This window comes from Homo sapiens, chromosome 1, assembly GCF_000001405.40.
Source record: "Homo sapiens chromosome 1, GRCh38.p14 Primary Assembly".
NCBI classification, from domain to species: domain Eukaryota; kingdom Metazoa; phylum Chordata; class Mammalia; order Primates; family Hominidae; genus Homo; species Homo sapiens.
In genome coordinates this window covers 157,107,497-157,120,575 of record NC_000001.11, presented here as the reverse complement: position 1 = coordinate 157,120,575, position 13,079 = coordinate 157,107,497, and the positions used below count along the sequence as shown (strand labels likewise).

Sequence of the window (13,079 nt, the reverse complement as noted above, 5' to 3'; positions counted from 1 at the left end):
TACTAAGGAAACAGTATTTCCCAGTAGATGACAAGAATCCAGAGGGGTAGGAGGGGATAATGGTGGAGTACTGAATATCATAACACACTTTCAGAAAAATGGAGCCAGACAGTAATCTCATTTCACCCGTGGGAGATAGGCAAAGTGACTTTCTGGAGGTCCCAATATGCCAGGTGTTCAATTTGGCCTCTATTAAAGGGCGCTGTGAGTAGGGAATTGAGTGGTGAGGGACGTCGCTGAAGAGGCCGACTGGGATGGATTATGAAGGGTTGCATTTTATTCTAGCAATGGCCATCCCTGGTATTTCACAAAATAGCGGGCTGAGCCAGGGAGGACCATCGAAGGACACCGCCCTGAGAAACTGTGACTACCTTGTCAGTATCTCTGCTCAAAAAGACAACTCATTTAGGTAAGAAAAAGGAAAAGTAACGGGCTGACTGGTCGACGTCCTGAAGTAACCAAGTCAAGAAAATGGGTATGGGCTTGGATGAGACCCTCCAGCTGGGAGAGCCTCCTGCTTCTCTCCCCTCCTCATTGCTGAAAGCAAAAGGAGGCCCGTTTTAGGAATGAACTTGCACATAGTTTTGAGACCAGAATCCCAGACATCTGGTTCTGCCAGCCTAAGTTGGCCACTCAGTGCTTAGAATTGGATGGTGATTATTTGAATTCTGAGCAAAGAAGGAAAAGAGTGACAGCATGTGGAAAAGAAGTAAGGAAAGAGATGAGGCCTGGAGGATGAGGACAAAGGGGAAAGGTAAGCCTCAGAGCCCTTCATGGTGAGTTAGGGAATAACCAACTCACCATGATTTTCCTGTTACAGTCTTTAGCAGCTCGGCAGGCCCTTCATAACCTGGCCCCTGATTTCCCTTCCAGCCTCATCCTTCACCACACACCCATGCAGACACACTCTCTCCCACACTACACAAAGCCTAAGCTGTGCCCAGAACAGCCAGTGCGAATATAGCAGTTGTCCTGTGCCAGGACCCACTTGTATCAACTCATGTAAGCCTCATGACAACCCTTTGAGGTAGGAGCTGTGTTTATTGCCATTTTATTGTGGGAACACTGAGTATCAGAGGAGCTAACTGGCTTGCCCAGAATTCTTGCCCCAGTTCCTGTGCTCTAACCACTCTGCTGCAAGGCCTCTCTGCCATGCTGACAAACTGCCCATCGGCTCTGTCCCTTCTGCCTGGAACACCCTTCTTTCCCCCACTTCACCAGTTACATCTTACCATGCGGCATTCAACTCAGATGCCATCACCTCCACGGCCTTTCCTGGAAGGTCAGGGGGCACTCCTGCGTGTCCTGTCACAGCCCTCACCACACTGTGTTGTCATTGCCTGCTTGTCTGGCTTTTCACAGAACAGTCAAGAAGCCCCAGGCCAGCGCAGCGTTCAATTCAACGGCCTTTCTCCAGTGCCTAGCACACTGCTTGGAGCCCGAGGATGCTTGATAAATGTTTAACAAGTGAATAACAAGAGACATACGAAGGAGGTGTGACTGTTGGAATAGAAGATGCAGGTTTGGAATAAGGATGGGCAAAGGGATGAGGGGAGAGTGACATGGGTATAGTGTCAAGCTCCCAGCCCCAGTATAGGGGCCACCTGCCCAAGGAGCTGTGCCTTGAGGCCCCTGTTCGATCACAGCCTTCTTCCACCCTCCTGGCCCCTGGGTCTACCATGGCTCCCCGCCTCTCCTCTATCTTCAGTCTCTCTCCTCCCGTCTATCTGCAACTGTACTCCCTCCCACCTTCCTTCAACCCTGCCTCCCCTCAGGATACACACAGGATATATTTGTGGGGTATTGATCTACTCAAGCAGAATGTGCAAGAGAAAAATGAACTGAAATTATAGGGAACCCTCCACTAAGGGTGCTCCCCTGGCCTCCCAGTTTCCAAGACACCTATAATCCTGAAGAGCCCCACCTGGGCTTTCCCTTCCTGCCCCCTCCCTAGGATTCAGGCAGACTCATTAATTCCAACTTCACTCACCCACCTCTTGTTCCCACCCTCAAAAAAAAGAAAAAGAAAGAGGATGAGCAGGAGGACAGCAGGAAACCCCAAGGAGGCCTGCTGTTTCCCACGTGTCCCTGTGCCTCTCCTCTCCCGGGATGGCTGTGCTGCCTCCCTGGAGAACAGAGAGGCTCTAGAACTGGCTCGAATCCCATAGTCCCACCCCTGCCACTTACTGCCTGTGAGGCCTCAGGTGGGCTATAGAACCTCTCCGTGCCTCAGTTTCCCTATGTTTTAGGGCTGTTTCAAGGATTAAATGATGCACATAAAGCATTTAGTGAAGTGACCACAATGTTTAAGTGAGGTCCCATCCCATCATCATGGTTATTTTACCCTCCTGCGGCTTTGTGCCTTCACATTGGCTTTTTTTGGTACCACCATCCCTGTCTGACAGATGAGACAAGTGAGGCCCGGAGCAGGTGGCTTATCCTAATGATTCAAACCGAGGTCTCCTGACTCCAGATCACATACTTTCCCCATTGCCTTGTATCTCTGAGGCGAGGGTGAAGACAGTTCTAAGCAGCGTCTAAGAATCAGACATGCAGAATAGGAAGAGGAGGGGGAAGGCCCAACCTTAAGTGTTTCTCCAGGTGTCAGGCCACGTGTCCCAGCCTGGAGTGTTGAGACCCTGGCAAGAACACAGCAGGAGGGGGAACAAGCACCTGTGAGCAGGCCCAGGGGAGGGGCCCTTCAGCTCTGGCCAAACAGGCTCCAGGGGGACTGAAAAAGGAAGGAGAAAGCCTTCCCAGAATGCAGGTCAGCCCACCTGACTCCCCCATGACTGACAGTGGAGGCTGGGCCCGGGTTGATACAGAGGTGGGGAGGAATTGGGGATGAGGGGGTCCCCCTCACTGTCTCCAGACCCCTGGCTCTAGTATCTGGGATCTGGTCTAGAGACAATGGGGAGTGGGCCATAAGCCCTGCAGAGGCAGCCAAAACAGGAAGTGAAAGTCTGGGACCCAGCAGCAGCAGGCCTTTCTAGCTTGTCTCAGTTCTATCAGGTTGTCGACTCCATCCCACCTTCAGCCCAAAGCCTGGTCTAGGAGACAGTCCAAGCCTTACAACCTGGGTCCCAAAGAGCTAAGGGCCAGTGAGGGGGGAAGCCACTGGCCTCTCACCTGGAGTCCTGCAGGGTATCACCAGGGAGAGGAGGATGGAAGGACCCCTCTCTCCAGGGGGCAGAGGTCAGCACCAGATTCTGGCTGCAGGGGAGGGACCCTCTGTTACAGAGAGTCATTAAGCCTGCCTTCTGTTTTTTCCCAGGTTCCCTCAAAGAGCAGCACAAACAGATGATGGCAGGGAGGGCGGTCAATCTAGTGAGTGTTCTGGAATTTAAGTGTCTTCTTTGCATCACTTTTGCCCCCTCCGTAACTAACTGGAAGGAAGTGAAGGGGAAACTGAGGTATGTAGGCATCAATCTATCTTCAGAATAAAACAGGTATTGGAAAGTTTGTTTTTATTCTCCCACTTGTAGCCCAGCTGGAAAAAGTCTTCATCTGCACATGTTGAAAAATGTTGCCTCTCTGCTAACCAACTCCTCCTACCCTCATGAACATCTATATGTTCTTGTCACTTAACTTGTGTTAACTAACTTGATCCACAAAATCACCTTCTGTGGAGAGTACTATTATTATGCCCATTTTCCAGATGAGGAAAACAAAGGTCAATGAGGTTAAGTGAATTGCCCAAGATCAACACAGGTAGTGAGCAACCCAGCCAGGACTCACCCAGTGTCTCTGACTCCAAAGTTCATGTCTTTTCTCAAATACCTCTCTGCCTCTCAGTGGTGATACAGACAGCTGGAAGTGGGGGTTGGGGAATGAGCTGCTTTAAAGAGGCCCTTGATTTATCTAAGGAACTTTGTGGAATCATTGCCGGTTTGAGCTCCCCTGGAACAACCTCAACGCCCAGAGACAGAGACCCATACATATGTTCAGGCAGTCATTCATTACATGAAACAAACATTTGCTGAAGGGCTGCTGGATGCCAGGCTGTGGCTGGGAGACATAGGAGGTCCCTGCTCCCTGGGGCCAAGCAAGCCAATATAATGAACTGAAATACAAGGCAGACTGCGGCCAGGTGACGATAGTCGTTCATTCATTCATCCAACGTTTCCGAGTGCCTGCTGGATGCCAGGCCCAGTTCTGTACTCATAAAGTCAAATCAACACACTCCTGACCAGCCAGGAGCTTCCAGTCTAGCAGCGACAGAGGACAGGAGTAAATCGGGGCTGTGATTCTACTCCAGCAGTGACAGAGGACAGGAGTAAATCGGGGGCTATGATCCTATTTCGTGCTCTTTCCACATGACAAAGCCTTGCTTTTCATCTCCGAGCAAGCTGTCACTTTTCTGGTTGCCAAAGAATTTTTGGTACTCACTTCGGCCAGCAGGAACTCAGGTGTTCCCACAATATTGGGGAAGTTGTCCTTCTACCCCAGTCCCCTTCTGAAAAAGCCGCAGCCCCAAGATCCCCTTCTAAACACCAGCAGTCCCCAGATGGACAAGTGCCCTTCACTGTGGGGACTGTCGCCTTTGCATCAGCAGGAACCAGGGGCCTCCTCCCAGCTCCCCGCCCCCACAGCCCAGCTCAGCCCATGCCTAGAATGTCATCAATGCTTCATAAATGGTGTGATAGGTTGTATTACCAATAACAGGGTGAAATAAGAGGTGCATCTGTCTCTCCAGTCAGGTCTGGCTGATAGGGGAAGACTTGGTCCCTGCAAACCTAGTTCTTTTCCTGGTGTAGGGAGTGAGATCACCTCCCAACACCTTTGCCCAGGACACAGTTGTGGGCAGCTGGCTCTCCAGCTGGCTTGAGCTGCAGGCCCAGTGTGTGTGTTGGGGGATGGAGTGGCAGGGGTCATCAATTCAGTGGGGCTGTTGAGAGAGTAGGATCAGTTTGGGAAGGAAGAAGAGGGACGTGAGTGAGGGGAGTTGAGGCGGCAGTTGAGTAGGGGTGGCAGTCTGAGCACAGGTTGGGGGCTGGGAGGAGCAGGGGGGACCTTGGGGGATGGGAGTGCAGAGGCTGAGGTGGAAGGCAGATCTAGAGATGAATTCCCAAAGGAGGGGGATGGAGCAAGTGGAGGAGGGACAGCAGCCGGGGTGGGCAGGGGAGCAGGGCTGAGAGCAGGGAGCACCCACCCCCCAGCCTCCTGCCCATGGTATTGATCTGCTAGATTACTCAATTTCACCCGTATTGATCAGGTAATTGCTTTATCTCGGTTCTCATTTGAGCTCTGCATTCTCCTGGCTTCCCCTTCTCTCTCTCTTGTTTTTTCCTATCAATGTGACACAGGGCTCCTTAACTCAGAATATATATAAAGTTTGGTTAGCCTGCCCTGGGTTGGTGTTGGGGGAAGGGGAAAAGGGTGGGAGGGAGGGAGAGACCTGCCTCCCCTCTGAGCCCCTGAGTTATTCTCTTCCAAGAAATCCTTCCTGGCTCCAGACAGTGGAAATGTCTGCCCATCCCAGCTTCTCAGAGGTCCGGAAAAGAACAAGGGAAATAGAATCCAGGGGTGACCCCAAACCCGAGAGGCCTAGAGCCTCTTCTCACCGTGCCCCAATCCTGCGCCCCAGCTCCCATGCCTGGCTGTTGGCCAGCCCTCACGAAGCGTGAAGAGCATCCATCCCTCTTGCTGCTCTTTCGGGGCCCCTGGAACTAAGCACCATGCCTGTTGGGTTCTGCCTGTCTGCAGCCCTGGGCATGTGTCCTTCCCACCCAGCTCCCTCACTCTCCCATCCCTTACCATTCTCCAAGAGCCCCCAACCCCTAGTGCTCAGGCCACACACCTGGCCTCCACCTGGAGGAAGGAGGACTAGGGAAGGGGACTCAGCCCCTCCTCCAGGCACCCCCCCAATCCAAAGAAGGAGATGCAGTTCCTCCAGGAAGCTCGTCATCTGAGAAGCAATAGCTCCTGTCTCCCTGAAGCCCCCAGACTGAGGGAAGAGACAAGACCCCATCTGAGGACCAGCCAAGAGCACTACACAAAAGATAAAAGGGGAGGGCTCCAAGGGAGAGTCAACAGTGTGGGATCCTGGACAAGATTCAGTTCTCTCACCGTCTTCCAGAACGCAGCCCTGGACCAGCTCACAGACCAGCGGCACAGAGAGGCAGAGAGTGAGTGCATACTGAAATTGTCATTCTCAAAGGATACCACACTGAGACCAGGGCAGCCAGTGCCCCAGCCCAGGTGAAGCTCTTGAAGGCCAAGGGGACAGGCCCACGTGGAGCCACGTTCCTCCTTCTAGCACACACTCTGGGTCTCTGGCACCCTCCAATTCCCTGTCCAAATGACGGGAGCCCCATCCAGGAGTGCTCGAGCCTCTGCCCTAGGCACATCCTCCTGAGCGGGAGCAGTGTTGTTTCCACTCCCGCACAGACGCCTGCAAATGTCAGGAGCAGGCCAGGCCGCACAGATTTTTAGTACTGGAGCTCTGTCTTCAAAACTTCTACTGAGAACTCAGTTTATAAAACAGATGTTTAAAACCTTGTGTGACCTCCAAAGTTTAAATCTTCATGGCTATGACAACCCCTCAAACTCCTCAAAGGCTCCAAAGGGCAGTGGCAGGGCAATTTGAAAGACGCTGCCTTGAGACAAAACAGCAAGGGACAGCAGAGGCTGGAGGCCCCTCCGCTGGAGCCAGCTTGTGTCTGACTTTCCAGAGGCTTCTGCAGGAATGAGAGTTGCAGGTGCTCACCTGTGAGGCCCAGTGCAGGAGACCCCAGGGAAGACAGGAGCAGGAAGGATTAGAGGGATGTGGCTGAGAGAAGGCACAGCCAGAGAACTAAAAGGGCCCCTTTGTCATTCACTCCCGGAGAAGAGGATGACTAAAGCACTCAGGAGCAGGGGCAAAGCTATGAGTTTAGTCAAGACACATTTCCTGAGGGGCCATTATGTGCCAGGCACTGAGATGGGATTGGGAATTCCATGGTAAACATGACGGAGAAGGCTCCAACCCTCCTGTTGGAGTTCAGAGACTCTGGGAGACCATAAACAAGCTCTCCCTCCCCAAAGCCTCTTGACCTCCAGGCCCATCACCCAGGGCCATCCAGGGCCCAGTCTGTCGTCTTTGAGGAAGGTGGCCCACCAAGCAGAGAGAGGGAAGGACACAAAGCCAGACACCCTCACACTGTGCACTGAGGGAGTCCCATCTCTGAGCCGTGCTCTCATCCCCATCCAGTGAGGAGACAGAGAGAGCAGCGTGGGGTGTGCAAGAGGGTGGGAGCCCCACAGGTGCTCTGTCTGGGTGCACCCCACCAGCCACAGGCAGGCAGGCATAAGCCGTGAGCAGCCACACGCAGGCAAGCACCCTGTCTGCTGCTGTGCCCTGCAGAGCCCAGCACGACTTCCCTCTGGAGTTTTGCAGGGCGGGGGACAGCCCATCTCTTTTCCTTCCTGTGTTAGTTTCCAGAGTTCCCCTCTGTGCCCTGGGGAAGTTCCCCCTTTGATCTAACTATCATTCCTCCTGCTGCTCTCACAGCCTTTTTTTTCCTCGTTCCTCCTCCATTCAAATATCTCAACCTTTCCATCTACTCCTTCGACTCTCCTCACCCTACTAGTCTGCCATCCTTCCTTCCCTGATACCCGCACTGCCATTCACTTTGGCCTTCTCACGTCTATGCCTGGAAGGAGGGGGAACAATTGCCCTGTTTTTCTGGGACTGTTCCAGTTTTAGCACTGAAAGTACTGCATCTGGGAAACTGTCAGTCCCAGGCAAAGCAGGACAGCGGAGCACCCCACCTGGAAGGTAGGACATTGTCTGAGGTCCAGCTCAAGGGGCCAGGTTGGGGCAGGGTTTTGGTGCCAGTACTGAGAGGCCAGCAGCATTTTCCCACAAGTACAGGGGACAAAGACAGTCACAACCCCCACCACACACACAGAGAGAGACACCCCCACACAGTCTCTGAAACAAAGCACAGCCCACGCACCCAGAGCAGACACCCCCAGAAACATGGGCTCACACACTCAGATTCACACACAGCAAGCCCAGGTTCACATACCCACCTTCTCAGAGATAGGTGTGCATGGACACAGGCACACACAGCCCACCAACACACACTGGAAACACAAAAACTGACACAAACACCTACGCACAAAAATACGTGGTTACAGAGACAGCCAGCCACAGAACACACAAATCCTGAGACACACAGACGCACACCTGCTAACAGAGACAGAAAGACACGCATTCAGACTCCCACACGGAGGCACACATGGAGAGACGTCTTTCTATAGACCCAGGAGTACAAAGAAGCCTTCACCTGCACCCACAGGGTGAGCTGATCAACAAATTCCAGAGCTTTTCCCTGTTCTGCCTTGGAAATAGCCCCAGGGTTTGGGAGGTGGCCCTAGCTCCTCCTTACCCCTAGAAAGAAGGAAGAACTGGGCCTGGGACTCACAGGGCCAGGTAGCAAGAACCCCCACCCTGCCCGGTGCCAGGGCTGGGGACCGTTCTGAGCACAGCCTCTCTGGAGTTCGGGTCGGGGGTGGGAAGCTCTCACTCCCTCTCGCGGGGTTGGGCTTTGGGGGGTGGAGAAGTGTGAGTGAAATGGGTTTATTACTGGGAGTCTGTTGCCTCGATTGGTATCGATCCCCACATGTCACCTTCCATTGCCGCTAATGGGACATGAAGAGTCTCCACCGACACCGCAGCCACCGGCTCCGCACACTCACACACCGCCTCCTCCCCTGCCCTCCCCCAGCCCTTGCATCCCTCCGGATGCAGCATTCCAGGGCTGCCTCAGCCAGGCCTCCTCCTGCCCTCTCTGGTCCCTCTCCTCTTCCCTCAGCCTCATCACTTCTTCTAATCTTCCCCCTTTCCTTCTTCTTTGTCTCCTTAAATCAGATTTCTTCCTCCTTCCCAGTGCTTACCTGGCACCTCCTTTCCTGTCCCCTTTCTGGCCACCTGGGGCCTTGTCCCTCCCTGCAGGAGCGCCCCTGTTCCCTCCCCTCCCTCTGAGTTCAGTCTCAGTCACCACTTTGGCCCCTGCCTTTGGCCTCTGCCCCTCTAATGGGGGTGCATTGGGCCCCATCAGCATGGCAGAGAATGAGCCCTCTTTCTCCAACAGCCGGCAAGGAGTGCTTATGAGTGGGTATTCTTCTTCCGACACGATTGGACTGGCCAGACAGACCTTCCTGGAATCAGCCAGGCCCCCTGAACTTTACTCCACTGGCTGCCATGACCCCAGGCCAGATCCCTGGCTGAAGGGCAAGGAGCCAGTGGAGGAGAAGGGATGAGCCTGTTTTCCTGGCTTCTTCCTATTCCTCAGGAAGGCAATGGCACCATCTTGTCATCTCCACCCCTCCACCCTGTGCAGCTCCTTGAGAAACACTCCCCAAGGTCTGATCCCATCCCTGTGTCCTCTGGTGCTGCCCATTTTAATGTCAGATGGTTACAAAGGCTCAGCGAGGCCTGAGAGAACCCACTCGGGGTGGTGAGGTCTTGATACAAAGTCAATAGACTCTGAATTTAGTCACTTGTGCTGGTTGTTACTCAAGTATGAAAAAAGCGTCACTAACTAGAACAGGAAAAGTCTACTTGAAGCTCAAATAGCATATCCTTTGGCTTCCTCCTATGAGAGGACCCTTCCCGCCTGAGTTCGTGCCATTAATCTCTAGGGGCTGGGAGGAGAGCTGAGGAGAGGAGCTGTTCCCATTCCCTCCCTGGCCTCCCTCAGCCCAAGTGGATGCTGACAGACACCCAGAGCCAGCTCTAAGCACCAAAGCAAGAAGGGCTGCCTCCTGCCAGGTTCCTGTCCCCAGACAGAGACAGCTCCACCCCCATCCATTTGGCCTAACCCCACTATTGTTCACCCTGTCAGGGAGTTTAGGGAGCTGGACAGTTAATGGAAATGAAGATGGGGGCTCATGCCTGTAATTCCAGCACTTTGGGAGGCCAAGGCAGGCAGATCACTTCAGCTCAGGAGTTTGAGACCAGCCTGGGCAGCATGGTAAAACCCATCTCTACCAAAAATACAAAAATTAGCTGGGCATGGTGGTGTATGCCTGTAGTCCCAGCTACTTGGGACGCTGAGATAGGAGGATCACTTAAGCCCAGGAGGCGAACGTAGCAGTGAGCTGAGATTGCACCACTGCACTCCAGCCTGGGTAACAGAGTGAGACCCCACCTCAAAAAAATAAAATAAAATGTGTCGAGGCTGCCTATTGTGAGTCCAGGCAATTGGGCTGGCTAGAGCGTGGGGTGCTGATTGAAGCATGAGGTACTTTTTGGTTTATTCACTTCCCAGTCATGACAGAGCAGCCCCCATATCCAGGCACTGTGCTACACACTAGGATGCACGCAGAAAGCTTCATAATCTAGAACGGTCTTTGTTGGGTCAGGAGATCCTCCACCCACGGCCATTTGCCATTTCCTCCACCCACTGCTAGGGAGCTAAGCCATCTGCTTATATTTAGAGGATGAAGCAGAGGAGGCTTAGCTTGCCATTCTAGCAGCCAAGGTCTGAGCCAAGCGCCTAGCGTCCATGCCCAGCCTAGTCTACAAAGGCCAACCACTGAAGTGTGAGTTGGACAGAAAGTAGGGAGCAGGCAGGAAGAACTGTCTTTATCCAGCTCTAGAAGATGAGAGGAAGCAGGTAGGGACAGTGGAAGGAGCAGCAGAAGAGTGAAAACCCCACTCAGAAGCAGCTCCTGAGGCCGGGGGTGGTGGCGCACACCTGTAATCTTAGCTACTTGGAGGGCTGAAGGCAGGGGGATCACTTGAGGCCAGAAGTTTGAGACCCCATCTCTACAAAAAAAAAAAAAAAAGGACTTGAAGATAGCCTTATGAGAGACTTTGCTGGGAGCTGGGATGGTCGCAGGAAGTGGGACCCCCACAATAGTTTGGAGCCTCCTTGTCTGGAGGTCTCTCAGATATTACCCCCTAGAAAAGCCTATAGAGGCAAGAGGAGGTCCAAATGATCCCGGGAGTCCAGTGCCTGGGTCTAGGCTCCTGTTCCCCCACTTCAGTTCTGCTCTGACCCCCTCTTTGGCAGGGCCTTCCTGAAGAGGAGGGGCAGAGCCATTCTTCCTAATGGAGTCCTCCTTGGCCTTGGCATCTTCTGCAGCTAACTCAAATGATCCTGAAACTCTTCAGTGAAGAAGAGAGGATGGGGTGGAGGTGAGCAAGGGGCAGGATAAGCTTTCCAGATGAGGAAGTACCAATGACACCTACGAGAAATGCCCAGGTTACCGCATCTTGGCTCTAACTTCAGTCTTTCTTGCCACAGATCTCTGTCCTTTATGGAGATCAAGTCTGTCTCGTCCTTGCTAATATCACCCCCACCCACCCATCCAACTCCATGGAACAGTGTTCTGTGCCATTCCTCCCTGTAGCCCCTTTCCTCTTTGCCCTAGTGGGCCTGGAGCCCAGTCCTTCCTGGCTCTCCCTGACCAGGACCCTCTCTCCATGGCCCCCAGCTCCTGTCTCCTCCGTCAGTCAGCCTCTCTCTCACCTTTCCATCATGTTAGCTTCGGTTGATTTAGCCAGAAAACAACCCCCAGAATTTAATTCCATGGCCCTCCAGTCCCATCTCGATCAGCTCAGGGTTGGGAGGGTCTGTGTAACGAGGAGAGTGGAGGGTAGGGGGAAACTTGGTATCTCAGAGTCAGGGGAAAAAAAAAGAAAATCATATTGATTCCCCCAATGACATCCATCAATCTTCTCCCCGATGGTGAGTGGGGAGATTGGAGACAGGGCCGACAGGCTCCAGGGTCACTTGATCCCCAGGACTTTAACGACAGAGGCCCTGGTCTTCAGTATCGTCCCTCCTCCAGCTTCCCTGGAAAAGCCTTTCCTGAGGTCAGTTACCCACGTCCTCCATCCCCTCCCAGAACATTCTGGATTCCTACCCCTTCTCTTGTTTGTAATATTTCCTTAGCAGGCTCTCTGATGACCCCGTCATCACTTTCTCCTGCCTGGTTTATCCCTTAGTTGGAAGTTCTTCCTGCTGTCTAACTTCAAGTCACATTAATTTTTTTAAAAAAGGAAAAAATCATTTTCTACAACTCTAAGAGGAAACAGACATAATCGCTGCTTTAAAATCCTTAGGGAAAAGAGATTAGGTAAATGATTAGTATCATTTTACTGGAGACTACGAAGAAAAGTTACAAATTGCAAAGATCCAGCACTACCATGGTGAGCAGAGCATGGTCTGGGGCTCAGAGGAGAAAACAAGGAGTGAGATGGTGTTAAGAATCAGAGATTGGGAAGGGTGTTTCTTCTGCAGATCTGGACTCCATCTCCACAGAAGTCTGCATAAAAGAAGGGCTGACAAAGTAGGAAGGGTGGACAGCAGAAGGCCTTCCCAATAGGTCAGCGTCCCTTTTCCTGGCGTTAAAGAAGGGGTAGCCCTCTCCCTAGTCTCCCGGTGGGTCAGATGTTTTAGGTCTGATCTTCCCCAGAGGCAGGCTCTGGATGCAAAGGACCCAGTGAGAGATACTCCCTCCCACCTCACCCCCAAAGAGGTGGGGGTGCAAGGGAAGGGGCTCAAGGCCGTGGTGTTGCTAGCCCCCGAAGGGTTAATGCTATTGTCTGAAAACCACATCGGCTCCCCTGGGAGCTTGGAGATCCCGCTCTCATTTTAAGTAACCCTAACGCGTGTGATGAGCGAGGAGGGGGTCGTTGCTGGGCGAGGAGAGCGCCAGAGGGAGCCAGTCGGAGGAGCACGGGGACCTGGCTGCTGATCCAAGGTAAGGGACTCCGATGGCAGGTCTGCAGCTGGGGCCAGCCGGCAGGGACGAGCCCTTCTCTGTCCACCACCTCAATGGTGGAGCCGATCGTGGGGCAATTAGGAAGGGGAGACATAAAGAGAGCTAGGCACCGGGTGGAGAGGGGAACCCAAGGGTCACACTGAAGCTGCGTGGGAGGTGGCAGGGCTCTTCCATCTAGGTATGGGACAGCCACAGAGCCAGGTGTTGGGCACTTAGGCCAGAGAGAACCCTGGCACCTGCAGAAGGACATCATAATGACAGCAGGTCCAGCCTACCAATAGGCTCTCCTCCCCCAAGATGGGGCACAGCTGGGGTCAGCTATTGGCAGATACAACTCTTGGGATGAATGGATCAAG

At 53.2% G+C, this 13,079-nt stretch overlaps 2 annotated features.

Moving 5' to 3' along the window:
* Positions 6,187 to 6,812: an enhancer, noted in NCBI's record as "H3K27ac-H3K4me1 hESC enhancer chr1:157083556-157084181 (GRCh37/hg19 assembly coordinates)". NCBI's record gives its function as "activates a minimal SCP1, AML or CMV promoter by ChIP-STARR-seq in naive H9 embryonic stem cells {active_cell/tissue: H9 hESC(naive)}" and the evidence as "EXISTENCE:reporter gene assay evidence [ECO:0000049][PMID:30033119]".
* Positions 6,813 to 7,437: an enhancer, noted in NCBI's record as "H3K27ac-H3K4me1 hESC enhancer chr1:157082931-157083555 (GRCh37/hg19 assembly coordinates)". NCBI's record gives its function as "activates a minimal SCP1, AML or CMV promoter by ChIP-STARR-seq in naive H9 embryonic stem cells {active_cell/tissue: H9 hESC(naive)}" and the evidence as "EXISTENCE:reporter gene assay evidence [ECO:0000049][PMID:30033119]".